The sequence below is a fragment of the Homo sapiens genome, chromosome 7, assembly GCF_000001405.40.
Source record: "Homo sapiens chromosome 7, GRCh38.p14 Primary Assembly".
Lineage (NCBI taxonomy): Eukaryota > Metazoa > Chordata > Mammalia > Primates > Hominidae > Homo > Homo sapiens.
The window spans coordinates 72,813,398-72,837,813 of NC_000007.14; the positions used below are offsets into that span (position 1 = coordinate 72,813,398).

The window sequence follows — 24,416 nt, forward strand, 5'->3', positions numbered from 1 at the left end:
ACTCCTGACCACAGGTGATCCACCTACCTCGGACTCCCAAAGTGTTGGGATTACAGGCGTGGGCCACCACGCCCAGCCTCTAACTGCTTCTCTAACTCTACCTGCGTCAGCATCACCAGGAGCATTGTTTAAGCTCTACAGTGCAGCCAGGCTAAGACCTGAGATTCTGCATTTCTAGCAAGTTCACAGGAGATGCTGATGCTGCTGGCTCAGGGGCCACACTTTGAGAACCACTGCTGTAGGGTGAAATCCCCTAACTGGGCATGACTGGAGAAAAAAGGGGAGGAATATTTTTCAGATGAAGAAATTAAATCTTCATAGATATTAAGTAATGCGCCCAGGCACAGTGGCTCATGCCTGTAATCCCAGCACTATGGGAGGCCGAGGCAAATAAATCACCTGATGTCAGGAGTTCGACACAAGCATGGCCAATATAATGAAACCCCATGTCTGTTAAAAATACAAAAATTAGCCAGGTGTGGTGGTGGGCACCTGTAATCCCAGCTACTCAGGAGGCTGAGGCAGGAGAATCACTTAAACCCTGGAGCTGGAGGTTGCAGTGAGCCAAGATCACACCATTGCACTCCAGCCTGGGCAACAAGAGCAAAACTCCATTAAAAAAAAAAAAAAAAGATATTAACCAATGCATTGAGGTCACACAGCTAATAAGAGATTTCTCTGATTCCGAAACCCATACTCTCTGCTCTTGACCTTTTGGTTGGATCGCCCATGGCCTACCAGCATAGCACACTGCCATCAATAACAACCCTTCCTTGATTAAGAGATTCGAAATACGGGGGAAGGCTGGGCATATCTGTAATCCTAGTACTTTGGGAGACTGAGGCCAGGAGTTCCAGACCCGCCTGGGCAACACAGTGAGACCGTATCTCTATAAAAAATCTTTTGGCCGGGCACGGTGGCTCATGCCTATAATCCTAGCACTTTGGGAGGCCGAGGCGGGCGGATCACGAGGTCAGGAGATCGAGACCATCCTGGCTAACACGGTGAAACCCCATCTCTACTAAAACTACAAAAAATTAGCCGGGCGTGGTGGCGTGTGCCTGTAGTCCCAGCTACTCAGGAGACTGAGGCAGGAGAATGGTGTGAACCCGGGAGGCGGAGCTTGCAGTGAGCCGAGATCGCGCCACTGCACTCCAGCCTGGGTGACAGAGCGAGACTCCGTCTCAAAAAAAAAACAAAAAAAACTTTTAAAATTAGCAGGGCATGGCAGCACATGCCTATAGTCTCAGCTACTTTAGGAGGCTGAGGAAAGAGGATCACTTGAGCCCGGGAGGTTGAAATTGCACCACTGCACTCCAGAGCCTGGGTGAGAGAATGAGAGCCTGTCTCAATAAAATAAATTCAAAAAAAATAAAAATAGTAGGGGTCAGGCACAGTCGCTCACGCCTATAATCCCAGCACTTTGGGAGGCCAAGGCAGGTGGATCACTTGAGGCCAGGAATTTGAGACCAGCCTGGCCAACATGGTGAAACCTCAACTCTAGCAAAAAAAAAAAAAAAAATTAGCTGGGCATGGTGACACATGCCTGTAAATCCCAGCTACTTGGGAGGCTGAGGCAGGAGAATCACTTGAACCTGGAGACGGACACTGCACTGAACTGAGATTGCACGACTACACTCCAGCCTGGGTGACACAGTGAGACTCCATCTCAAAAAAAAAAAAAAAAAAAAAAGAAAATTGTGGGAAGGAGTGAACTTCCAACCACCCAAGCTTTCTCACCTCTAGTCCTGCCCCAGGAGAATTTAACACACCTGAAGAACAAGCCCCACACCACGTGAGAATCAGTGAACCTCACCCCACATTCAGTTCTCTGATTCACACTGGAATTCAACTAACTGAAATCCCTTAGCACGAAAATTAAATTTATTCTGAAGATTCTAGTTATCTAATTAAATTTACTGTGAAGATTGCAGATCAGTTAAATTTGAGAGTTTTGATTGAAGAAAAAGACAATTACCAACCTCTTCTATCAGATGATCATCTGGATCATATTCTTTTAGATTAATAATGGCCACAGGCAGATCCAGGGACGTAACTGCTTCAGCAAGAACTGTTGCAAATCCCTAATAGGACAAAAAAAAACTTCAAATAAAGTCTTCAATGAGCCAAATATAGCCCTCATTTACCCCTGTTGGCACAAGAATGTGGCATTCCTCATGAAAAATGTTTTCAGTGACTGATATGAACCCAAATTCTATCCGCACTCTTACCATTTTCTTGGGCACCATTACCGAGATCATTCAATTGTGTTGTTCTCACCCGATCAGGGTTTACGTAGGACTGAATCTAATTTGGCTTTGGATGATCAATCTGCCTTGCCCTACTAGAATAAACATATCAGCCAGGCAAGATGGCTCATGCCTGTAATCCCAGCACTTTGGGAGGCTGAAGTGGGAGGACCACTTGAGGCCAAGCCTGGGCAACAAAGTGAGACCTCATCTTTATAAAAAAAATTTAAAAATTAGCCAGGTGTGATGGTACACACCTGTAGTCCCAGCTACTCAAGAGGCTGAGAAGGAAGGATCCCCTGAGCCCAGGGGTTAGAGGATACAGTGAGCTATGATCACACCAATGCACTCTAGCCTGGGCCACAGACTGAGATCCTGTCTCATAAAGAAAATAACATATTAAAAAACAATAAACACAGAGAAGTGCAAAAAGAAATAGTGAAGAATGGGCTGGGCACAGTGGCTCACAACTGTAATCCCAGTACCTTGGGAGGCCGATGCGGCTGGATCACTTGAAGTCAGGAATTCGAGACCAGCCTGACCAACATGGTAAAACCCCGTCTCTACTAAAAATACAAAATTAGCCAAGCGTGGTGGCACACACCTATAATCCCAGCTACTCGGGAGGCTGAGGCAGGAGAATCACTTGAATCCAGGAGGCAGAGGTTGCAGTGAGCCAAGATTGCACCATTGCACTCCAGCCTGGGCAACAAAACTCCATCTCCAAAATAAATAAATAAATAAAATAAAAGAAAGAGTGAAGAGTGAAAAGAATGGGAAACATGAAAAGAAGACGGTTGACAGACAGGAAAAAGCCCTAGGGAAGAGTTCACAGGGCTGTCAGAACCCCAGAGAAGCTCTGGGTTGGGAGCAGCCACTACAACAAAAGATGGAATGAATATCTTTTGTACGCTAATGAGATGACTTACTGGGGTGAGGCCTCAGGTAGCTTCAGGACAGAGGCTCATTGCCAGAGAAACTGATGAGAGGTTAAACTCAGCACCTCCTACCCCAGCCCCAACAGAGAACACTAAGGAAAGAAGAGGGGCTGGAGATTGAGCTTAATCACCAAGGCCAATGATTTAATCAATAGTGCCTATGTAATGGAGCCTCCAAGAAAAACCCCTGAACAATGGAGACTGTTGACTTGGTGAACATACCAACGTGCTGGGGAGAAGACACGGCCAGAAACGGCCTGGAAGCCCTGCTCAACCCCCACCCCTCCATAGCTGGCCCTGTGCAGCTCTTCCATTCGGCCGTTCCTGAGTTGCATCCTTTATAATAAACCAGTAAACATAAGTCAAGCAACTTCCTGAGGTCTGTGAGTCATCCTATAGAACCTGAGGAGGCAGTGGTGTGGAACCCTAAATTTAAAGCTGGGACTTGTGACTGGTGTCTGAAGTGGGGGCAGTCTTGTGGGCTAATGATAACTCCCAATAGTAAGCATGAGAACTGGTATAGAAAAAGGACAGGTTGGCCGGGCGTGGTGGCTCACACCTGTAATCCCAACACTTTGGGAAGCCAAGGCAGACAGATCACCTGAGGTCAGGAGTTCGAGACCGGCCTGACCAACATGGTGAAACCCCATCTCTACTAAAAATACAAAAATTAGCCGGGAGTGGTGGTGGGCACCTGTAATCCCAGCTACCTACCTGGGAGGCTGAGGGAGGAGAACTGCTCGAACCCAGGAGGCGGAGGTTGCAGTGAGCCGAGATCGTACCACTGCACTCCAGCCTAGACAACAGAGCGAGACTCCATTTCAAAAAAAAAGAAAAAAGGTATTTGGGGGTCAGAAAACAGTACTGCAGCAGGCCTCAAGGACTGATATGGTTTGGATATTCGTCCCCTCCAAATATCATTAACACGTAATCTCCAATGTTGGAAGTGAGCTCGAATAGGAGGTGTTTGGGTCATGGGGGTGGGTCCCTCATGAGTGGCTTTGTTACCAGTGGAGGGTCTTGACTAGGAGTTGTCCAGGTTCTTCACATGTTGAACAAAGAATTGAAAAAAATGCACAAGTGAAGCAACAAAAACACAGATTTATTGATGGGAAGGTACACTCTACAGAGAGGAGGCAGGCTTGAGCAAGTGGCTCAAGAGCTCCAGTTGTAATGTTCCTTGGGTTTTTATTAAGCTAGAAGAATTTGGTAACACCCCCAGGTACCCTTTGGAGGCTTCCAATTGGTTACACCCTATGCAAATGAAGAATTGGCTCATGGCCAATCAGAGGCTGCAGTGGAGTTACACCCTCTGCAAATAAAGAATTAGCCCACAGCCAATCAGAGGCTAAAGCTTTCCTTTCAGTTTAATTCAAGGAAGTCAGCCACAGGTTGGCCTTAGGCTCTGTCTCCAGACTCTACTTTCCTACCTCAGCTTGCCGCCCTCCCCTTGGTGTTGAGTTCTTGCCCTATCAGTTCATAGCTGGCTGTTAAAAAAAAAAAAAAAGCCTCACATCTCTCCCTACTCCTTTGCTCCCTCTCTCACCATGTGGTACCTATTCCTCCATGGGTGGAAGCTTCCTGAAGCTTTGCCAGAAGCCAAGTGGATGTTGGCACCATGCTTGTACAGTCTGCAGAACCATGAACCAAATAAACCTCTTTTCTTTATAAATCACAGTATTAGTCCATTCTTGCATTGCTATTAAAAAATACCCGGCCGGGCATGGTGGCTCATGCCTGTAATCCCAGCACTTTGGGAGGCTGAGGCGGGTGGATCACTTGAGGTCAGGAGTTCGAGACCAGCCTGGGCATGGTGAAACCCCATCTCTACCAAAAATACAAAAAATTAGCTGGGTGTGGTGGCATATACCTGTGGTCCAGCTACTTGGGAGGCTGAGGTGGAAGGATCGCTTGAGCCTGGGAGGCAGAGGCTGCAGTGAGCCGAGACCACACCACTGTACTCCAGCCTGGGCAACTAAGCGAGACTCCATCTCAAAAAAAAAAAAAAAAAAAAAAAGGAAAAAAGAAATACTTGAGACTGGGCAATTTATTAAAAAAAAGACGTTTAATTGGCTCACAGTTCTGCAGACTGTACAGGAAGTGTAACGACATCTGCTTCTGAAGAGGCCTCAGGGAGCTTCCAATCTTGGTGGAAGGCAAAGGAGGAGCAGGCACATGACATGGCAGGAACAAGAGAGAGAAGGAGGAGGTGCCACACACTTTTAAACAGCCAGATCTCATGAGAACTCACTCACTGTCACGAGGACGGTACAAGGGAGATGGTGCTAAACCACTCATGCGAAATCTGCCCTCAAGATCTAAGCACCTCCCGCCAAGCCCCACCTCCAACACTGGGGACTACGATTCGACATCAGATTTGGTGGGGACACAGATCCAAACCATATCAATTACCCAGCTGCAGGTATTCCTTTATGGCAATGCAAAAGAGACTAACACAAGGATAAAGTGAGATTTGAGCCAAAGCTGAAGGAACTGGGAAAACCATGAGGTTATCCCAGGCGGCAGGAACAGTGAACTGCAAAGGCCCAGTGGAGGTTATTAAGACTGAAAAAAAGGGAACCAAGGAGATGGGGTAAGAGAGTTAACAAAGAGCCACACGTGTAGGATCTCTGGGCCACTGTGAGGACTCAAGCATTGACTCTTGAATGAAGGGGTCAGCGCAGGGTTTTAAGCAGAGGGATGACATGATTTCACCTAACTTTTCAAACAGTCACTGAGGTTGCTGAGTTGAGAGTATACTGGAGTCAGAAGAGGGCCGAGTGGTACTGAATCAGAAAGACTGTCTTAGTCCATTTTGCTATAAAGGAGTACCTGAGACTGGGTAATCTATGTCTTTTATTTTTTTGAGAGAAGGTCTCACTCTGTCGCCCAGGCTGAAGTGCAGTGGCACAGTCACGGCTTACTGCAGCCTTGACCTCCTGGGCTCAAGCAATCCTCCCACCTCAGCCACCCGAGTAGCTAGGACTACAGGCACACGCCACCATGCCTGACTAATTTTTGAATTTTTTGTAGAGATAGAGTTTTGCCGTGTTGCACAGGTTGGTCTCGAACTCCTGGGCTCAAGTGATCCACCTGCCTTGGCCTCCCAAAGTGCTGGGATTATAGGCGTGAGCCACTGTGCCTAGCCCAATCTATGTTTTAAAAAGGTTTATTTAATGCAGAGAACCCCAGTGAGATATTACATAAGATGGCCATCCCCAAGACACAAAATCATCAGATTCTCCAAAGTCGAAATGAAAGAAAAAATGTTAAAGGCAACTAGAGAGAAGGGGCAGGTCAGCTACATAGGGAATCCCATCAGGGTAACAGTGGACCTGTCAGCAGAAACCCTACAATCCAGAAGAGATTGGGGCCTATATTGAGCATTCTTAAAGAAAAGAAATTTCAAGCAGGGCATGGTGGCTCACATCTGTAATCCCAGCACTTCGGGAGGCCAAGATGGGTGGATTACCTGAGGTCAGGAGTTTGCGACCAGCCTGACCAACATGGTGAAACCCCATCTCTACTAAAAATGCAAAAATTAGCCAGGTGTGGTGGCGCACACCTGTAGTCCCAGCTACTCGGGAGGCTGAGGCAAGAGAATCACTTGAACCCAGGAGGCGAAGGTTGCAGTGAGCTGAGATCGCACCACTGCACTCCAGCCTGGATGACAGAGAAAGACTCTGTCTCAAAAAAGAAAACAAGAAATTTCAACCAAGAATTTCATATCCAGCCAAATTAAGCTTCATAAGCGAAGGAGAAACAAGATCCTTTCAGGCAAACAAATGCTAAGGGAATTTATTACAACCAGACCTGCCTTACAAGAGGTCCTTAAGGAAGTGCTAACTATGTAAAGGAAAAACTGTTATGGGCCACCATAAAAAGGTTTATTTGGTTCACAATTCTGATATCTGAAAAAGTTCAAGATTGGACATCTACATCTGGTGAGGGCTCCAGGCTGCTTCTACTCCTGGCAGAGTAGAAGTGAAAGGGAGCTGGCGAGCACAAAGATCACATAGCAAGAGAGGAAACAAGAGTGCAGGAGAGGTTCCAGGCTCTTCTTACCAACAAGCTCTCTTGGGAACTAAGACAGCAAGAACTCACTCACCCCTCCCCCAGGGATTCATCTATTCAGGAGGGATCTGCCCCCAGGACCCAAACACCTCCCATTAGGCCCATCACCAATGTGAGGGATCAAATTTCAACATCAGTTTTGGGGGAACAAACAACAAATTATAGCAGAAGTCAATGGTGAGATGACTGTCCAAATCCAGACAAAATATCATGGCGGTGTCAAAGCTGTGAGAATCAACAACATGGAGTTACTTATGCGAAAATATCCCTGACAGTAAGAGCTACGGAAGACAAAGAATTCGCACACTTAGATTTTTTTTGTTGTTGTTGTTGAGACAAGGTTTCACTCTGTCCCCCAGGCTGGAGTGCAGTGGCGCCATCTTGGCTCACTGCAACCTCTGCCTCCCGGGTTCAAGTGATTCTCGTGCCTTAGCCTCCCATGTAGCTGGGATTACAGGCATGTGCCACCACACCAGGCTAATTTTTGTATTTTTTAGTACAAATGGGGTTTTGCCATGTTGGCCAGGCTAATCTCAAACTCCTGACCTCAAGTGACCCACCTGCCTCAGCCTCCTAAACTGCTGGGATTACAGGCATGAGCCATCACACCTGTCCTCACACTCAAATTCCTGATAATGAGAAAGATTCTACAAAAAATACAACCTTGCACAAAAACCACTGCAACCTTACACAAAAAATACTACTGCAAGGACATCTGCCCAGCAACTTCATGTCCAACCTTGGATTGTGTCACCTTTGTTATTAACCTTTGTAGGCAAGAATAATTATTTCAAAACAATTCTGTAATCCTCATTTTTTCCCTTAAAAATCTTTGCCTTCCTTTACTTCCCTGAATACATGCAGTTTACTATGGCAATTGTATCCCCATTGCAATGTACGTGCTATTCCCAAACAAACATCTTTTCTTTTGGAGAGCCTCTCTATGGTATTTAGGTTGACAATGGCATGGACCAGGGGAGTAGCAGTGAAGGTGGTAAGAAGTGATTGGAAACTGAATCTATTCTTAAAGTAGAACAAACAGAATCTGCTGACAAACTGGACATGGGTTGTATAAAAAGAAGTCAAAAGGTGTTTTGGACCAAGCAACTGGAAGGATAAAGTTGTCATTTACTGAAATTGTAAGGATTACAAGTAGAGCAGGCTTGGGCAGAAAATTGGGAGTTCAGTTTTGAGCAAACTGATGTTAAGATGCTTACTAGACATTCATATGATGCTCTAAGAAAGGTAACTCGATATGAAAGTCTGGAGTTGAGAGAAACAGTTAAGATTAGAAACAGAAATTTAGGGCCAGGCACGTGGCTCAAGCCTGTAATCCTAACACTTTCAGTAGCCGAGGCGGGTGAATCACTTGAGGCTAGGAGTTTGAGACCAGACTGGCCAACATGCAGAAACCCCATCTCCCCTAAAAATACAAAAATCCCAGCACTTTGGGAGGCCAATGCCACTGCACTCCAGCCTGGGTGACAGAGTAAGACCCTGTCTCAAAAAAAAAAAAAAAAAAAAAAGAAGAAGAAGAAAAAAGAAGAATAAAAAGAAAAAGTTACAAAAATATAAGAGAAAAGATCTGAGACACAGAAGACGATCCAAAAGGTAGAACATCCCACAGGAATCCCAGAAAAAAAGAAATGAAAAGGGAAAAAAAATTCATCCAAGAAATATTAACAGAACTAATGCACACAAATCGTCAAAATGCATACAAATCGTCAAAACAAAAAAATTCAAGTATACAGAACAATAGCTGAAAAAGATCCAAATAGTCACCTTCCCATAAAATTTCCAGAAATCAAGGACAAAGAAATGATCCGAAAATCTTCCAGAAACAAAATAATCAAGTCATCTACAAATTTGCCTTCTCATTAGCAATACTAACATGCTGGAAGACAATGAAGCTACGCCTTCTGAGGCAAAAGTTTTTAATAGTCTTCTATACATGACCAAATCCGAATCAATCAAATCCAACAGCAGAATGAAGAAATATTGAGATGGGCTGGGCACAGTGGCTCACACCTGTAATCCTATCCTGTAATCCTAGCCCAATATTGAGATGGGCTGGGCATGGTGATTCATGCCTCTAACCCTAGACAGAAGGATCGCTTGAGGCCAGGAGTCAAGACCAGCCTGGGCAACATAAGGAGACCCCATCTCTACAAAAAAAATTTTTTTAATTAGCCCAGCATGGTGGCACAAGCCCATATTCTCATCTACCCAGGAGGGTGGGTCAGGAGAATTGCTGAAGCCCAAGAGGTCGAGGCTGCAGTGAACTAAAATCATGCCACTGCACTCCAGCTTGGGTGACAGAGCAAGACCCTATCTCTTTTTTTCTTCTTTCCTTTTTTTTTTTTGTTTGAGACAGGTTCTCACTCTGCCACCCAGGCTGGAGTGCAGTGGTGCAATCTAGGCTCACTGCAACCTCCACCTCCCAGATGCAAGCAATTCTCCTGCCTCAGCCTCCCAAGTAGCTGGAATTACAGGCGTGCACCACCACGCCCAGCTAATTTTTTGTATTTTTAGTAGAAATGGGGTTTTGCTTTGTTGCCGAGGCTGGTCTTGAACTCCTGGCCTCAAGTGGTCTGCCCACCTCGGCCTCCCAAAGTGCTGAGATTACAGGCGTGAGCCACCACGCCGGGCCAAGACCTTGTCTCTTAAAAAATAAAAATAAAGGCCGGGCACGGTGGCTCACGCCTGTAATCCCAACACTTTGGGAGGCCAAGGCGGGCAGATCACGAGGTCAGGAGTTCGAGACCAGTCAGACCACCATGGTGAAACCCCATCTCTTCTAAAAATACAAAAACTAGCTGGGCGTAGTGGTGGGCGCCTATAGTCCCAGCTACTCAGGAGGCTGAGGCAGAAGAATCGCTTGAACCCGGGAAGCAGAGGTTGCAGTGAGCCGAGATCGCGCCACTGCACTCCAGCCTGGCGACACAGGGAGACTCCATCTCAAAAAAATAAATAAATAAAAAATAAATGAAATAAAATAAAATAAATAAAAATAAATTCAGATGGCGCAGCTTTAAGATGGAAGATGGCTATCTACCCCAAAATCAACTATGATATGGACAGCAACATTAAGCCACTGAGACTTGAGGGCTGTTTGTATAAACTAATTAATATAGTCAATAACTTTTATGTAATGTTGATAAATCTAGAAACACAGCATAAGCATCAGAGGAACTAAAAATAGAAATAGTTACAAGGTTTCTGGAGAGTACATTTCATTATTAACTTTCTGTACACCTGGATTTGTTACCATCTGCAAGTATTCGTTTGATCTTTTTGATCATTTTTTTTTAAAAAGGTAAAAACATGCATAAAGAGGCTCTGAAAAAGGTTTTTTATAAGTAACATTAAAAGGACTTTGCTTTGGCTGCTCAGACACCTTTTTGCTTTTTTTCAGGTTTCCCACCTCCACTGCTTAAGGTTTAACTTAACAACTGACCTTCGACTGTAAAATGAAGCAAAGTATCTGCACTCAAGTAGTGAAAACCTAAGAAGTACTATTCTGCGCAACTTCCACAAGAGGGCAGTAGAACCCTCTGAAGTAGTCCACAAAAATAACAGACCTTGATTTTTCCTCTAATTTATTTTCATGCTAGCCTTCCTTAAAATCTTTTCCTAGAAAGCACTAACTACCTGTGACCTGGCTAGGCCTGGTGGCTCATGCCTATCATCTCAGCACTTTGAGGGCCAAGGTGGGTGAATATCTTGAAGCCAGGAATTCAAGACCAGCCTGGACAAGATTGCAAGATCTTGTCTCTACAAAAAAATTAAATAAATTTTTTGGCTGGGAGCGGTGCCTCACGCCTGTAATCCCAGCACTTTAGGAGGCTGAGGCGGGTGACTCATCTGAGGTCAGGAGTTCGAGAGCAGCCTGGCCAATATGGTGAAACCTCGTCTCTACTAAAAATACAAAAATTAACCAGATGTGATGGCAGGCACCTGTAATCCCAGCTACTAGGGAGGCTGAGGCAGGAGAATTGCTCGAACCCAGGAGGCGGAGGTTGTGGTGAGCCGAGATCACACCACTGCACTCCAGGCTGGGGGACAGAGTGAGATACCATCTCAAAAATAAAATAAATTTTTTTTAAATAGCTGTGACCTTGTAACACAGAAACAGGTAGCATCTAGATATAATTAGAGAATGGGACTGGGCACGGTGGCTCACGACTGTAATCCCAACACTTTAGGAGGCCAGGTGGGCAGATTGCTTGAGCCCAAGAGTTTAAGACCAGCCTGGGCAACATGGCAAAACCCCATCTCTACAAAAAATACAAAAATTAGCTGGGTATGGTGGCATGCACCTATAGTCCCAGATACTCAGGAGGCTGAGGTGGGAGGATGCCTTGAGCCCGAGAGGCAGAGGTTGCAGTGAGTGAAGATGGCACAACTGCACTCCAGCCTGGGCAACAGAGAGACCCTGTCTCCAAAAAAAAAAAAAAAAGCAAAAAGGAGAAATCAAAGTACATACCAGATAATCTCACTAAATCCTCACAGTGACCCTGAGATAACCACACTATTACCATCTGCAATTTACCATTTCACAGATAAGCAACTGAAGCTTAGATGGCACTACAGCCAGACACTGTTCCCCCCCAAAAAAGAGAGAATGGGAAGCATCTTTCAACTAGATATCAGCTGTATTTACTTTAGTGTCTACCTTTAACACTTTTAGCACTATTAGAAATCAAAACAAGTTTCATTACATAGATGTGTGACGTGAGGCCAGGTGCAGTGGCTCACGCCTGTAATCCCAGCACTTTGGGAGGCCGAGGCAGGCGCATCACCTGAGCCCAGGAGTTTGAGAGCAGCCCAGCCAACGTGGCAAAACCCCATCTCTACTAAAAATACAAAGATTAGCCAGAGCGTGGTAGCAGGCACCTATAATCCCAGCTACTCGGGAGGCTGAGGCAGGAGAATTGCTTGAGGTGGAGGTGGAGGTTGCAGTGAGCCGAGATCGTGCCACTGCACTCCAGCCTGGGTGACAGAGTGAGACTCTGTCTCAAAAAACAAAATAAAAAATAAACATAGATGTGTGATGTGAAAGTCAGGCCCATATTGGAACTATTGGTGCCATCCTTTTTTCCCTATTCCCTACTTCCATACCCATGGGCATCGATAATGGACTCACAACTTTCTCTAGCCTGCTGAGGCAGAAGCAAGCTTCAGAACAAAGGCCCCCTCAAGACAGTGACCATCAGACACCACCAGTCAGCTCTAACTGGGCACAGGAGATGAAACCCGCCTACCATCGCAGAAAGGAAAAATATTTGAGGGGAAAAGGCTGGGAGAAAGAATAAAGAAGGTTAGATGACCAATTCAGTTCACTGCTAAAGGACAGTTCACTGCTAAAGTTCACTGCTAAAGGGATTTTCTTAAAATGTCAGGAAACCAAAGGAAAAGCATCATATAAACTTCTTAACTTTGCTGTTCCAGTCTGAGAACCATAAAAAATCTTCACTCCAGACACAAAGATGTCTTTCTCTCGAAGGGAGACATAACCATTTGTCATCAAATCCTGAGCTGCTTTTGGAACAGATTTTTCCTGTAAGTTCCTGCCCTTGAAGACAAATAATTACACAAAATCCATCAAGCCTAAATCGTTTCCCAACTTCAGCAGGGATGAAAGGTAGCACAGATACTGACACACTTTATTTTTCTCTTAATCTGACACACCTGTATTTTTCTCTTAAATCTTTCTGGTTGTATTCCTCAAATATTAGCCCCTTGGTATAATAAGGTCCTTTAATAGGCAGGACCCACATTTTTAAGGCTCATGATTTCCATTCCCTCCAAGAAAAAACTTTACATACTTTTATCCTATAAGGTATTTTAGTAGAATAATAGTAGGAACTTATTTTCTGATCCTTAATTAATGGAAAGAGAGGACTACTGACCCTTAAAGGTATAAAACAAATTTGTTTTTCATATAAAAGGTTCACTTTTCATTACAAAAATCTTCCTGTATCTTAAAAATGAGACACACCTATCAAAGAAAAAGTAAGTAACTTAATCCAAGATAACTTAGTCTCCAAAAACTTAGAGAAGAAATTTATTTTAGGCATTTCATTAAAATGTCTAAAGACCAAACACAAAAGTAATTAAAGGTTCCTTTTAGTGTTTAAATCCTCTATAAAATCTGATGCCTAAATACTCTATTAAAAAAAATAACTCCACTTACCTGCATCTCGATGACAATCTGGACACAAATCCAAAGGCTAATGCTAACAGCAAAGCCCAGATAAATGTAAAACCTGTTTATCCATAATGATATTAAAGGTGAGGAGAGGTCCCATGTATCCGCAGAAGGATCTAAATTTAAAATGACACACACAGATAATTTCATTTAAAGCTACATATACAAAGATATCCTTCCCGATTTTAAGAAGAAAATAAAACCAACCTTACATTCAACAACCCAGCTAAGAAATCTAATTTAAAAATCAACTGTTGGCCGGGCACAGTGGCTCATGCCTGTAATCCCAGCACTTTGGGTGGCTGAGGCGGGCAGATCACCTGAGGTCAGGAGTTCGAGACCAGCCTGGCCAACATGGTGAAACCCCGCCTCTACTAAAAATACAAAAATTAGCCGGGCATGGTGGCGCGCGCCTGTAATCCCAGCTACTCGGGAGGCTGAGGCAGGAGAACTGCTTGCACCTGGGAGGCAGAGGTTGCAGTGAGCCAAGATTGCGCCACCGCACTCCAGCCTGGGCGACAGAGCAAGGCTCCATCTCGTGGGGGGGGCGGGGGAATCAACTGTAATAAAAATAACACACTATGTAGTAACGTAATAAAATTATCATACTGTTAACACTAACTCAAAGAAAAAACAGAATATAAAACTGTATCTTCACTTCGAAATGAGCATTTAGAAGCAAGAGAAGGAACATAAAGTAAAAATACTTCATGTGAAATTAAGTTAATTGTTTTGTTGTGCTTGCTCCATAAAAAAAGCTTAAGTAGTAAAAGTATTCTTTTTACTAACTGTACTTTCAAAGGCTCACGGTTAAACTTGTAAAAGATTCTCAAGTAACTGACCTTACGTCTCATTTTTTTTTTTAAGAGAGATATGGAAGGACCTGGCTTCAAACGTTCAACCTGGCAGCAATTTCAAAAGTCGAAGCCTGAAATTTAGGCTTTACAGGTGCAAAAGTCCTAATACACGTGGGTAAAGTGGGAGGGGTAGTTTTCTGTCTAACCCCCTAGCCTCAAAAGGCAAAAGCCAGGTCAAAAGTAGGGATCGGTCCTCCTTGCTCTCAGCGGCGGCTAGCCGGTGCTGTCAAGTGCAACAGTCTCCGAAGGAAGGGGACCGAGGACGCCACTCCGCCCGGAGAGGGTCTCAGTAAAACGTTTACCTCCCCTGCCGCCCCAGGGTCCTTGCCCGCCGAGTGCCCTTACCCATCCTCCTCAGAGCCGACAGGAGACTAGGATCTCGGACCTGGAGAGCCCAAAGGTTCGCACTGGTACTGCGAGACGCACCGAGCTACCTCGCGGCGTTAGCGCCGTACCGAGTGGCTGCAGAACTGTGGGCAGCTACGACGCTGCCAGGCCCGTCCTGATTGGTTCAGAGGACGAAGAGGTGGGCCCAGAGGAAAGCCCGGAGCTCCGGGAAAGGAAGCCAGTGCCCGGTGCGCTCTCGGCCCTGCTCCGATTGGCTCAGAGGGGAAAGGGGGCGTGTCCAGAAATAAGCACCGCCCGGAGTTCCGGGCGATGAGGGCGGAGCGCTTCCGCCTCCGTTTGGATTGGCTCAGACTGGGAAAAGGCGGGTCCAGAGAGAAATGATTGGCATGGGAAAATTAAAAGAGGAAAGGAGTGGGGAGCGGGGGAAATGCTATGTGGGCCTGTTTGGATCTTAATTGAAATAAACCGACTGTAGAAAGGCATTATTTTTGGGAAACCCCGAGGGTAAACCCCGAGGATGACTTAATATCATCTAATAGATGATATTAAGGAATTGTAGTTAATCTCGTCGCGTGTATCTGTTAAGGGCTATAGGCTGAAGTATTTAATGCTGAAACCATATGATGCTTTCTTTAAAATACCCCCAACCGGCCGGGCGCTGTGACTCAAACCTGTAATCCCAGCACTTTGGGAAGCCGAAGCGGGAGGATCGCTTGAGCCCAGGAGTTCGAGACCAGCCTGAGCAACATAGTGAGACCTCGTCTGTACAAAAAATTTTTTTAATTATTTATTTAATTAAATTAGCTTGGCGTGGCCGCTCACACCTGTAGTCCCAGCTACTTGGGAAGCTAACGCTGGAAGATCGCTCGAACCCAGGAGGTCGAAGCTGCAGTGGGGCCATGACCCTGCCACTGCACTCCAGCCTGGGTGACAGAGTGAGACTGACTTTAAAAAAAAAAAGTAAATAAAAAAGCAACAAAAAAAATGAAAAAAGAATAAAACAAGGATGGCAAAATGTTGATAGCGCGGTGATGGGTACATGGAAGGTTCATTACACTTTTTTGTCTACATTTTATGTTAAAATATTTCTATTATAAAAGGGTGAGTAAATAAAAATATTTATCATAAAATAATTCCATTATAAAAAAATTTCTATTATAAAGTGGGTCTGGCCCTTGAATTCCGCGGAACGAGGTGGTGCCAACGCTGTGTTTCAACCCGGTCACTAAACATCCGCGAGCATCCTGTCAGAGCTCTCAGCTCATTGGCGAAAGTAAAACGCCAAGGAAAAGCACCTCCCTTTTTGGGCGTGGAAAGATGGCGGTAAAAGCCACAATGCGCAGGCGTCATCGCTCACTTCTCCCCTCCCGGCTTCTGCTCCACCTGACGCCTGCGCAGTAAGTAAGCCTGCCAGACACGCTGTGGCGGCTGCCTGAAGCTAGTGAGTCGCGGCGCCGCGCACTTGTGGTTGGGTCAGTGCCGCGCGCCGCTCGGTCGTTACCGCGAGGCGCTGGTGGCCTTCAGGCTGGACGGCGCGGGTCAGCCCTGGTTTGCCGGCTTCTGGGTCTTTGAACAGCCGCGATGTCGATCTTCACCCCCACCAACCAGATCCGCCTAACCAATGTGGCCGTGGTACGGATGAAGCGCGCCAGGAAGCGCTTCGAAATCGCCTGCTACAAAAACAAGGTCGTCGGCTGGCGGAGCGGCTTGTGAGTAGCCCCCTCCCTCGGGCCTGGGCCTGGGCCTGAGCCGTCACCTCCGAGGCGGCCTGTCTCTGCCCAAGTCGAGTGAATGGGCCAGGCTGGGGTGTTTGTTGGCCCGGGAGGAAATGGAACATTCCTGCTGTGAGCATGAGACGTCGCTGTCCGAGCTTGGCGCCTAAGCCAAGGGTTTCTTTATTTGGTTGGTTCCGATTGGGTTGTTGGTTTGGGGTTTTGTTTTGTTGGTGTCATAAAAGCTGCAGCCAAGAAATCTCATAATTGTGGTCCTTTTCCTAGAATAATGATGGCTGAGAACCTAGTGTTCCGAATACTGTCATAGATCTCAGTAGCCCTAGCAGTTTAAAGTGCGTAGTGTCTTCACTGCTGCCATCTAGGGACTGGCATTCCGTGGCAGCAGCTGTCTGCACCCCACCCTTGTGTTTCTTACGTCCTCCCATGACATTTTTCTCCAGTGAGCAAATGGTAGGGCAAATACAGTTCTGAGTTTTGAAAATGTTCCCTCAGGCCGATGCGGGCAGATCACTTGAGGCCAGGAGTTCGAGGCCAGCCTGGCCAACATGAAACACCATCTCTACTAAAAATACAAAATTAGCCGGGTGTGGTGGCGCATGCCTGTAATCCCAGCTACTCAGGAGGCTGAGGCAGGAGAATCACTTGAACCCGGGAGGCGGACGTTGCAGTGAGCCGAGATCGCGCCATTGCACTCCAGCCTGGGCAAAAACAGTGAAATTCCATCTAAGGGCGGGGGGGGAAGAAAACTGCCCTCTACACTAAAGGTCATCAGGGGGATTTGTTGTGTCTTGCCGTTCATGTTGTTGCCATCTCGTATTTAAATGTAAATGCATGTCCAAGTTTCAAGTATATTCACATAGGACTTTCTCTCCTGCCCTCACAAGGGAAAAAGACCTTGATGAAGTTCTGCAGACCCACTCAGTGTTTGTAAATGTTTCCTAAGGTCAGGTTGCCAAGAAGGAAGATCTCATCAGTGCGTTTGGAACAGATGACCAAACTGAAATCTGTAAGCAGGCGGGTAACAGCTGCAGCATAGCTAACCCTAATAACCATTTATAACGTATTTGTAGATATATTAAACATTAAAGGCTGTTTTTCTGGAGGAAAGACTAACCAAGCAATAATGTGAACTGCACAATATCACTTCTAATAATAAAGAACTTGGTGGTTTTGTTTTTTTGTGTTTTTTTTTTTTGCCAAAACCTCCTGAAATCAGATTTTCTACTAAATTACCTCATTTTTCTATAAATTACCTCATTTATAGAATGTGGTATACCTGAAAACTGAATTTGTTTTCAAGTATTTCATCTTTCAGACCCTTTTATTTTTTTGGCAGGGGACAGAGTCTTGCTCTGTTGCCCTTGGCTGGAGTGCAGTGCACTTCACTGCACTCAGCTCACTGCAACCTCTGCCTCCTGGGTTCAAGCGATTCTCTTGCCTCAGCTTCCAGGGTAGCTGGGATTACAGGTGCCCACCACCCTGCCCGGCTAATTTTTGGATTTTTAGTAGAGATGGGGTTTCACTATGTTGGCCGGGTTGGTCTCAAACTCCTGACCTTGGGTGATATGCCCACCTCAGCCACCCAAAGTGCTGGGATTACAGATGTGAGCCACTGCGCCCAGCCAAAAGATTCTTGCATCTTTTGGGCAAAGCTCAAACCATTACTTACATATTAATAGCTGGAGAGGATGAAATTTAATTTTCTCCCCAGTTACTCATTTTTTGTCGTTAGTTAATAAATAGTGTGTGATAGAGAAAGATAGTGATTTCTTAACTGTGTTGGCATTTTTTTAGATTTTGACTAAAGGAGAAGTTCAAGTATCAGATAAAGACACACACAACTGGAGCAGATGTTTAGGGACATTGCAATTATTGTGGCAGACAAATGTGTGACTCCTGAAACAAAGAGACCATACACCGTGATCCTTATTGAGAGAGCCATGAAGGACATCCACTATTTGGTGAAAACCAACAGGAGTACAAAACAGCAGGTGAGTGGTCTCTCATGTCATCAAAATATAGCCATGGAAATCAGTTTTCTCTGAAGAAATCATTAAAATAATGGGTCTGGGGCCAGGCACAATGGTTCATACCCGTAATCCTAGCACTTTGGGAGCCAAGATGGGAGGATTGCTTGAGGCCTGGAAACAGCCTGGGAAACATAGGGACGCCCCATCTCTAAATTTTTTTGTTTATTGTTGTTTTTTTGTTTGAGACAGAGTCGCACTGTGTTGCCCAGGCTGGAGTGCAGTGGCACGATCTCGGCTCACTTACAATCTCCACCTCCCGCGTTCAAGCAAGTCTCCTGCCTCAGCCTCCCAAGTAGCTGGGATTATAGGCACGCGCCACCACACCCAGCTAATTTTGTTATTTTTAGTAGAGTTGAGGTTTTACCATGTTGGCCAGGCTGGTCTTGAACTCCTGACCTCAGGTGATCCGTCCGCCTTGGCCTCCCAAAGTGCTGGGATTACAGGCATCAGCTACCGTACCCTACCTCTAATTTTTTTAATATAAAAAATTAAATTTAAAAAAATGGGTTTGCATGGAAGCAAGTGGGTAGAAGTTTTGTGGAAGAGATGGAGGAAAAGGACGGGGTTGTAAAGATAGGTAGTTTTTTTTTCAAGTAAACACAAATATGTATATAGGACTTTCTTCTTCCTATCCAAATCAAACTTTTAAAAACAAAACTTGAGTTTTTAAAGGGTCATTTTAACACCTCTTTTTGAATTTTTCAATTTACATATAATTCACATACAATAAATTTCACACTCATAAAGTGTGTACACTTTAAGTGGTATATTAACAAAGTTTGGGAACCTTCCCTGCTACCTGGTTTGAGAACATTTTCATCACCACAAAAAGAAAGTCAGTATCCATTAGTAGCTATCCCCCATTTTCCCCCCACAGGCCCTTCCCAACCACTAATCTCCTGTCGTTATGGACTTGTCAATTCTGGACATTTCATATAAATGGAATCATACAATATATGGCCTTTTCAGGGTTCATACATGTTGTAACCTGCATCAGCATGTCATTTCTTTTTTATGCCGGAATAATAGCCCGCTGTACAGAAAAAAACATATTTTGTTCATTCATTTATCAGTTGATAGACATTGGGTTGCTTTCACTTTTGAGCTATGATGAGCAATGCTGCTATAAAATTTCTTGTATGTTTTTGTGTAGACATATATTTTCATTTCTGTATACCTGGGGACTACCAAACCTATTTCTAAAACAGCTGCACCATTTTACATTACCACCAACAGCGTTTAAGAGTTCAGTTTCTCCACATCCTCAGTAATACTTGTCATTGTCTGTCTTTTTGATGATGGCCATCCTGGTGGTATCTTGTCGTCGTTTTGATTTGCATTTCCTTAATAATGATTTGAGCATATTTCCATGTGCTTATTGGTGCCTCGTCTGTCTGCTTTTGAGAAATCTCTGTTCAGGTTCTTTGCCCCCTTTTTATTCTCGCTCTGTCACCCAGACTAGAGTGCAGTGGCGCGATCTCGGCTCATTGCAAACTCTGCCTCCCGGATTCAAGCAATTCTCCTGCCTCAGCCTCTTGAGTAGCTGGTACTACAGGCGTGTGCTACCACACCCGGCTAATTTTTCTTTTTTTGTATTTTTAGTAGAGACGGGGTTTCACCATGTTGGCCAGGCTGGTCTCGAATTTCTGACCTTGTGATGCACCCGCCTCGGCCTCCCAAAGTGCTGGGATTAGAGGCGTGAGCCACCACACCTGGCCTTCACTTTCTTCATAATTTTTTGAAACACAAAAGCTTTTCTTCTTGATAAGTCCAATTTTTCTATTTTTTTTTAACGGTCACTTATGTTCTTAATGTTATACCTAAGAAACCATTACCTAATCCAACTACATGGAAACTACTTTGTTTTTGAAAACCTTATGAAATAATATAGTAGAAGAAATTGCATTCTCGATTTTGTCTTGGTAGGCTTTGGAAGTGATAAAGCAGTTAAAAGAGAAAATGAAGATAGAACGTGCTCACATGAGGCTTCAGTTCATCCTTCCAGTGAATGAAGGCAAGAAGCTGAAAGAAAAGCTCAAGCCACTGATCAAGGTCATAGAAAGTAAAGATTATGGCCAACAGTTAGAAATCGTAAGAGTCAAATATTTTCTTTGCTTCATGTTACCTAAATATTGTATTCTCTAGTAATAAATTTGTAGCAAACATTCAGACATTGTAAACAGTCAGATATTTTCTTTTCTTTTTTTTTTTCTTTTTTTTTTTTTTTTTGAGATGGAGTCTCGCTCTGTTGCCCAGGCTGGAGTGCAGTGGCGCAATCTCAGCTCACTGCAAGCTTCGCTTCCCGGGTTCATGCCATTCTCCTGCCTCAGCCTCCCGTGTAGCTGGGACTACAGGCGCCCGCCACCACGCCTGGCTAATTTTTCGTACTTTTTAGTAGAGATGGGGTTTCACCGTGTTAGCCAGGATGGTCTTGATCTCCTGACCTCATGATCCACCCGCCTCGGCCTCCCAAAGTGCAGGGATTACGGGCGTGAGCCACTGTGCCCAGCCAGATATTTTCTTAAGACTAAAGGTTGGTCAGCCTTGTTTACCACAAATCCTTTTATTTTTTTCCCAGCATTTATTTTTGTCATATATTATGCATAGTGTTTTAGATACATGATTTTAGCAAATTTAGCAACTATTTAAAATAAGCCACTTAAAAATTGCTATTTTAGTGGAAGATTGATAATTCCAATTACCTGAAAAATTTTGCAAAAATTAGTACAAAGCACACTATGGGAATTTATATTGAGTTTTCAGAGATAGCTCAATTGCGTGCTTTACTCCAGTGCTGATCATAATCCTAAAAGACAATCCCAAATACCACAATCCCAATGTTGAAATCATAAAAAAATCAAAATCTCTAAAGTCCAAAGCCTGAACTTCTAATATCTTGAAAATCACAGTTCCAAAAGATTGAATCCTGGCTCGGCGCAGTGGCTCACGCCTGTAATCCCAACACTTTGGGAGGCTGAGGCAGGCGGATCACCTGAGGTCGGGAATTCGAGACCAGCCTGACCAACATGGAGAAACCCTGTCTCTACTAAAAATACAAAATAGTCAGGCGTGGTGGCACATCCCTGTAATCCCAGCTACTTGGGAGGCTGAGTCAGAAGAATCATTTGAACATGGGAGGCAGAGGTTGTGGTGAGCCAAGATTGCACCATTGTACTCCAGCCTGGGCAACAAGAGCGAAACTCCATCTCAAAAAAAAAAAAAAAAGATTGAATCCTGAATGATGAAATTCTGAAAGCTGAATTCTGGCAAAAGGATTAGCACTCTTTGAGTTGTATGCAGGATAGTCGCGTCTGGTTAATTGCATCATGTGAGGAAAAGCTAGGACCTTGTTATTGTCTTCATTTGAAAATTAAAAATGGTTTAAAGAGATGAGTCTGGGTGCCAAGTTGATAAGGGGTGGAATTGTGGATGTAATTTTAGGTGTCAACTTGACTGGAAAGGAATCCCTAGAAGCCTGATAAAGGATTATTTGGGGTATGTCTGTGAGGGTGTTTCCAGAGGATATTAGTGTGTGAACCTGGTGACACTAAACACAGAACATTTTAAAGAAGCAGCGAAACCATTATGTCCTTATGACCTCACCCCACAGCTTCAAACACAGTGTAAATTCAGCTGTCTACAAATTCATGTTTTCAAGGCTTTGCAGCTTATTTATTTATTTATTCATTTATTTTTGAGACAGAGTTTCACTCTCGTTGCCCAGGCTAGAGTGCAATGGTGTGATCTCAGCTCACTGCAACCTCTGCCTCCCGGGTTCAAGCGATTCTCCTGCCTCAGCCTCCCGAGTAGCTGGGATTACAGGCATGTGCCACCTCGCCCAGCTAATTTTGTATTTTTGGTAGAGACAGGGTTTCTCCATGTTGGTCAGGCTGGTCTCGAACTCCTGACCTCAGGTGATCCACCAGCCTCGGCCTCCCAAAGTGCTGGGATTACAGGCGTGAGCCACTGCGCCCTGTCTGCAGCTTCTTTTTAAAAGTAAATGACCTGTAGAGAAGTGTTGAGTATGTGAGTATCCACTGTAGATGTGAACTAACCCATCTGACACTACTTGAAGTTCTAAAATCTTTGCAAAACTGTACACGTGGGCCAGGCACAGTGGCTCATACCTGTAATCCCAGCACTTTGGGAGGCCGAGGCGAGCAGATAACACGGTGAAACCCTGTCTCTACTAAAAATACAAAAAATAAGCCAGGTGTGGTGGTGGGCGTCTGTAATCCCAGTGTCTTGGGAGGCCGAGGCAGGAGAATCACTTGAACCTGGGAGGTGGAGGCTGCAGTGAGCCAAGATCACACCACTGCACTCTATCTCAAAAAAAAAATAAAACAAAAACATACACATGGTGTCTACGTAAGTCTTCACATTGCTTTTTCTCCTTCATACGTGGAGGTGACTTTACTGAGCTATAAAATGTAATGCTAAATTTTAGTATGAGAAGAATCAGAGTTTTCTAGTTTGTCCCTTCCATTTACAGCGGAAGAATCAGAATAAGTGTTTAAACATAGGGATTAATGCCTTGTCACAGGGGGCTACATGGATACTTGAGGGCAGAGGCTGAACTGGAACCCAGTGTGCCGCCCTACCCATTGTCTTATCTATTGCACCATAGAACTGTGGTATTAGAGATCTGGACAGCATTGTGCTTGCCTCAAAGTTAAAGCTGAGTTTATTCTGTGTCTTGCTCATCCTCATTTGGTAAACTGCTACGTTAAATGTTTCAGGTATGTCTGATTGACCTGGGCTGCTTCCGAGAAATTGATGAGCTAATAAAAAAGGAAACCAAAGGCAAAGGTTCTTTGGAAGTACTCAATCTGAAAGATTTGAAGAAGGAGATGAGAAATTTGAATGACACCCATCAGTCTCTTCACCTCTAAAACACTAAAGTGTTTTCGTTTCCAACAGCACTGTTTCATGTCTGTGGTCTGCCAAATACTTGCTCAAACTATTTGACATTTTCTATCTTTGTGTTAACAGTGGACACAGCAAGGCTTTCCTACATAAGTATAATAATGTGGGAATGATTTGGTTTTAATTATAAACTGGGGTCTAAATCCTAAAGCAAAATTGAAACTCCAGGATGCAAAATCCAGAGTGGCATTTTGCTACTCTGTCTCATGCCTTGATAGCTTTCCAAAATGAAAGTTACTTGAGGCAGCTCTTGTGGGTGAAAAGTTTTTTGTACAGTAGAGTAAGATTATTAGGGGTATGTCTATACGACAAAAGGGGGGTCTTTCCTAAAAAAGAAAACATGATGCTTCATTTCTACTTAATGGAACTTGTGTTCTGAGGGTCATTATGGTATCGTAATATAAAGCTTGGATGATGTTCCTGATTATCTGAGAAACAGATATAGAAAAATTGTGTCGGACTTAAATAATTTTCGTTGAACATGCTGCCATAACTTAGATTATTCTTGGTTAAAAAATAAAAGTCACTTATTTCTAATTCTTAAAGTTTATAATATATATTAATATAGCTAAAATTGTATGTAATCAATAAAACCACTCTTATGTTTATTAAACTATGGCTTGTGTTTCTAGACAACTTCCTAACTCCCTTTCTTTTCTCTGCCTGTGTCTGTGGTAGGGTTAGGGAGTTGTTAGGAGAACTAAATAAGTCCATATGAAGAGTGCTTAGAACAGGGCCTGTACTTGTAAACGCCTGAAAAATTTTTGCTAACACTTGGGATGTAACTGAAGTATTATTTTAGTATTTAAACACGTAAATGGACAAGGTGCAAGCTTTTAAAAATCTACTTCAAGGCCAGGGAGGTGACTCACACCTGTAATCCCAGCACTTTGGGAGGCTGAGGCAGGCGGATCACCTGAGGTCAGGAGTTCGAGACCAGCCTAGGCAACACAGTGAAACCCCGTCTCTACTAAAAATACAAAAATTAGCCAGGCATAGTGGTGCATGCCTGTAGTCCCAGCTACTCGGGAGGCTGAAGCAGGAGAATCG

At 44.4% G+C, this 24,416-nt stretch overlaps 1 protein-coding gene and 2 pseudogenes across 8 annotated transcripts in view, besides 6 other annotated features; 1 reads left to right on the plus strand and 2 right to left on the minus strand.

Moving 5' to 3' along the window:
• The window catches only part of TYW1B (tRNA-yW synthesizing protein 1 homolog B), a 253,688-nt gene extending 238,885 nt beyond the window's left edge, over window positions 1-14,803 (minus strand). For all 4 annotated transcript variants that reach the window (NM_001412180.1, NM_001412179.1, NM_001145440.3 and 1 more), the window contains exons 1-3: window positions 14,675-14,803; window positions 13,458-13,588; window positions 1,983-2,084 (exon numbers count right to left, since the gene is read on the minus strand). In NM_001412180.1, the coding sequence (NP_001399109.1) occupies window positions 1,983-2,084; window positions 13,458-13,588; window positions 14,675-14,678 (237 nt within the window). In that variant the 5' untranslated portion in view covers window positions 14,679-14,803. The remainder of the gene's footprint in view (window positions 1-1,982; window positions 2,085-13,457; window positions 13,589-14,674) is intronic.
• Window positions 7,187-7,688: an enhancer, noted in NCBI's record as "H3K4me1 hESC enhancer chr7:72291163-72291664 (GRCh37/hg19 assembly coordinates)". NCBI's record gives its function as "activates a minimal SCP1, AML or CMV promoter by ChIP-STARR-seq in naive H9 embryonic stem cells {active_cell/tissue: H9 hESC(naive)}" and the evidence as "EXISTENCE:reporter gene assay evidence [ECO:0000049][PMID:30033119]".
• Window positions 7,689-8,188: an enhancer, noted in NCBI's record as "H3K4me1 hESC enhancer chr7:72291665-72292164 (GRCh37/hg19 assembly coordinates)". NCBI's record gives its function as "activates a minimal SCP1, AML or CMV promoter by ChIP-STARR-seq in naive H9 embryonic stem cells {active_cell/tissue: H9 hESC(naive)}" and the evidence as "EXISTENCE:reporter gene assay evidence [ECO:0000049][PMID:30033119]".
• Window positions 9,497-9,774, minus strand: RN7SL377P (RNA, 7SL, cytoplasmic 377, pseudogene; annotated as a pseudogene).
• Window positions 14,713-14,972: a silencer, noted in NCBI's record as "silent region_18239". NCBI's record gives its function as "represses an Ori minimal core promoter by ATAC-STARR-seq in GM12878 lymphoblastoid cells {active_cell/tissue: GM12878}" and the evidence as "EXISTENCE:reporter gene assay evidence [ECO:0000049][PMID:35858748]".
• Window positions 14,713-15,067: a biological region, named in NCBI's record as "Sharpr-MPRA regulatory region 3958".
• Window positions 14,773-15,067: an enhancer, noted in NCBI's record as "tiled region #3958; HepG2 Activating non-DNase unmatched - State 1:Tss, and K562 Activating DNase matched - State 1:Tss". NCBI's record gives its function as "activates a minimal TATA promoter and a strong SV40 promoter by Sharpr-MPRA in HepG2 and K562 cells {active_cell/tissue: HepG2 | K562}" and the evidence as "EXISTENCE:reporter gene assay evidence [ECO:0000049][PMID:27701403]".
• Window positions 15,303-15,352: an enhancer, noted in NCBI's record as "active region_26119". NCBI's record gives its function as "activates an Ori minimal core promoter by ATAC-STARR-seq in GM12878 lymphoblastoid cells {active_cell/tissue: GM12878}" and the evidence as "EXISTENCE:reporter gene assay evidence [ECO:0000049][PMID:35858748]".
• Window positions 15,976-24,002, plus strand: SBDSP1 (SBDS pseudogene 1; annotated as a pseudogene). Of its 4 annotated transcripts, NR_024110.1 has the most exon segments (5): window positions 15,976-16,386; window positions 17,295-17,416; window positions 18,205-18,401; window positions 20,367-20,531; window positions 23,180-24,002. The product of NR_024110.1 is annotated as an SBDS pseudogene 1, transcript variant 1 (transcript).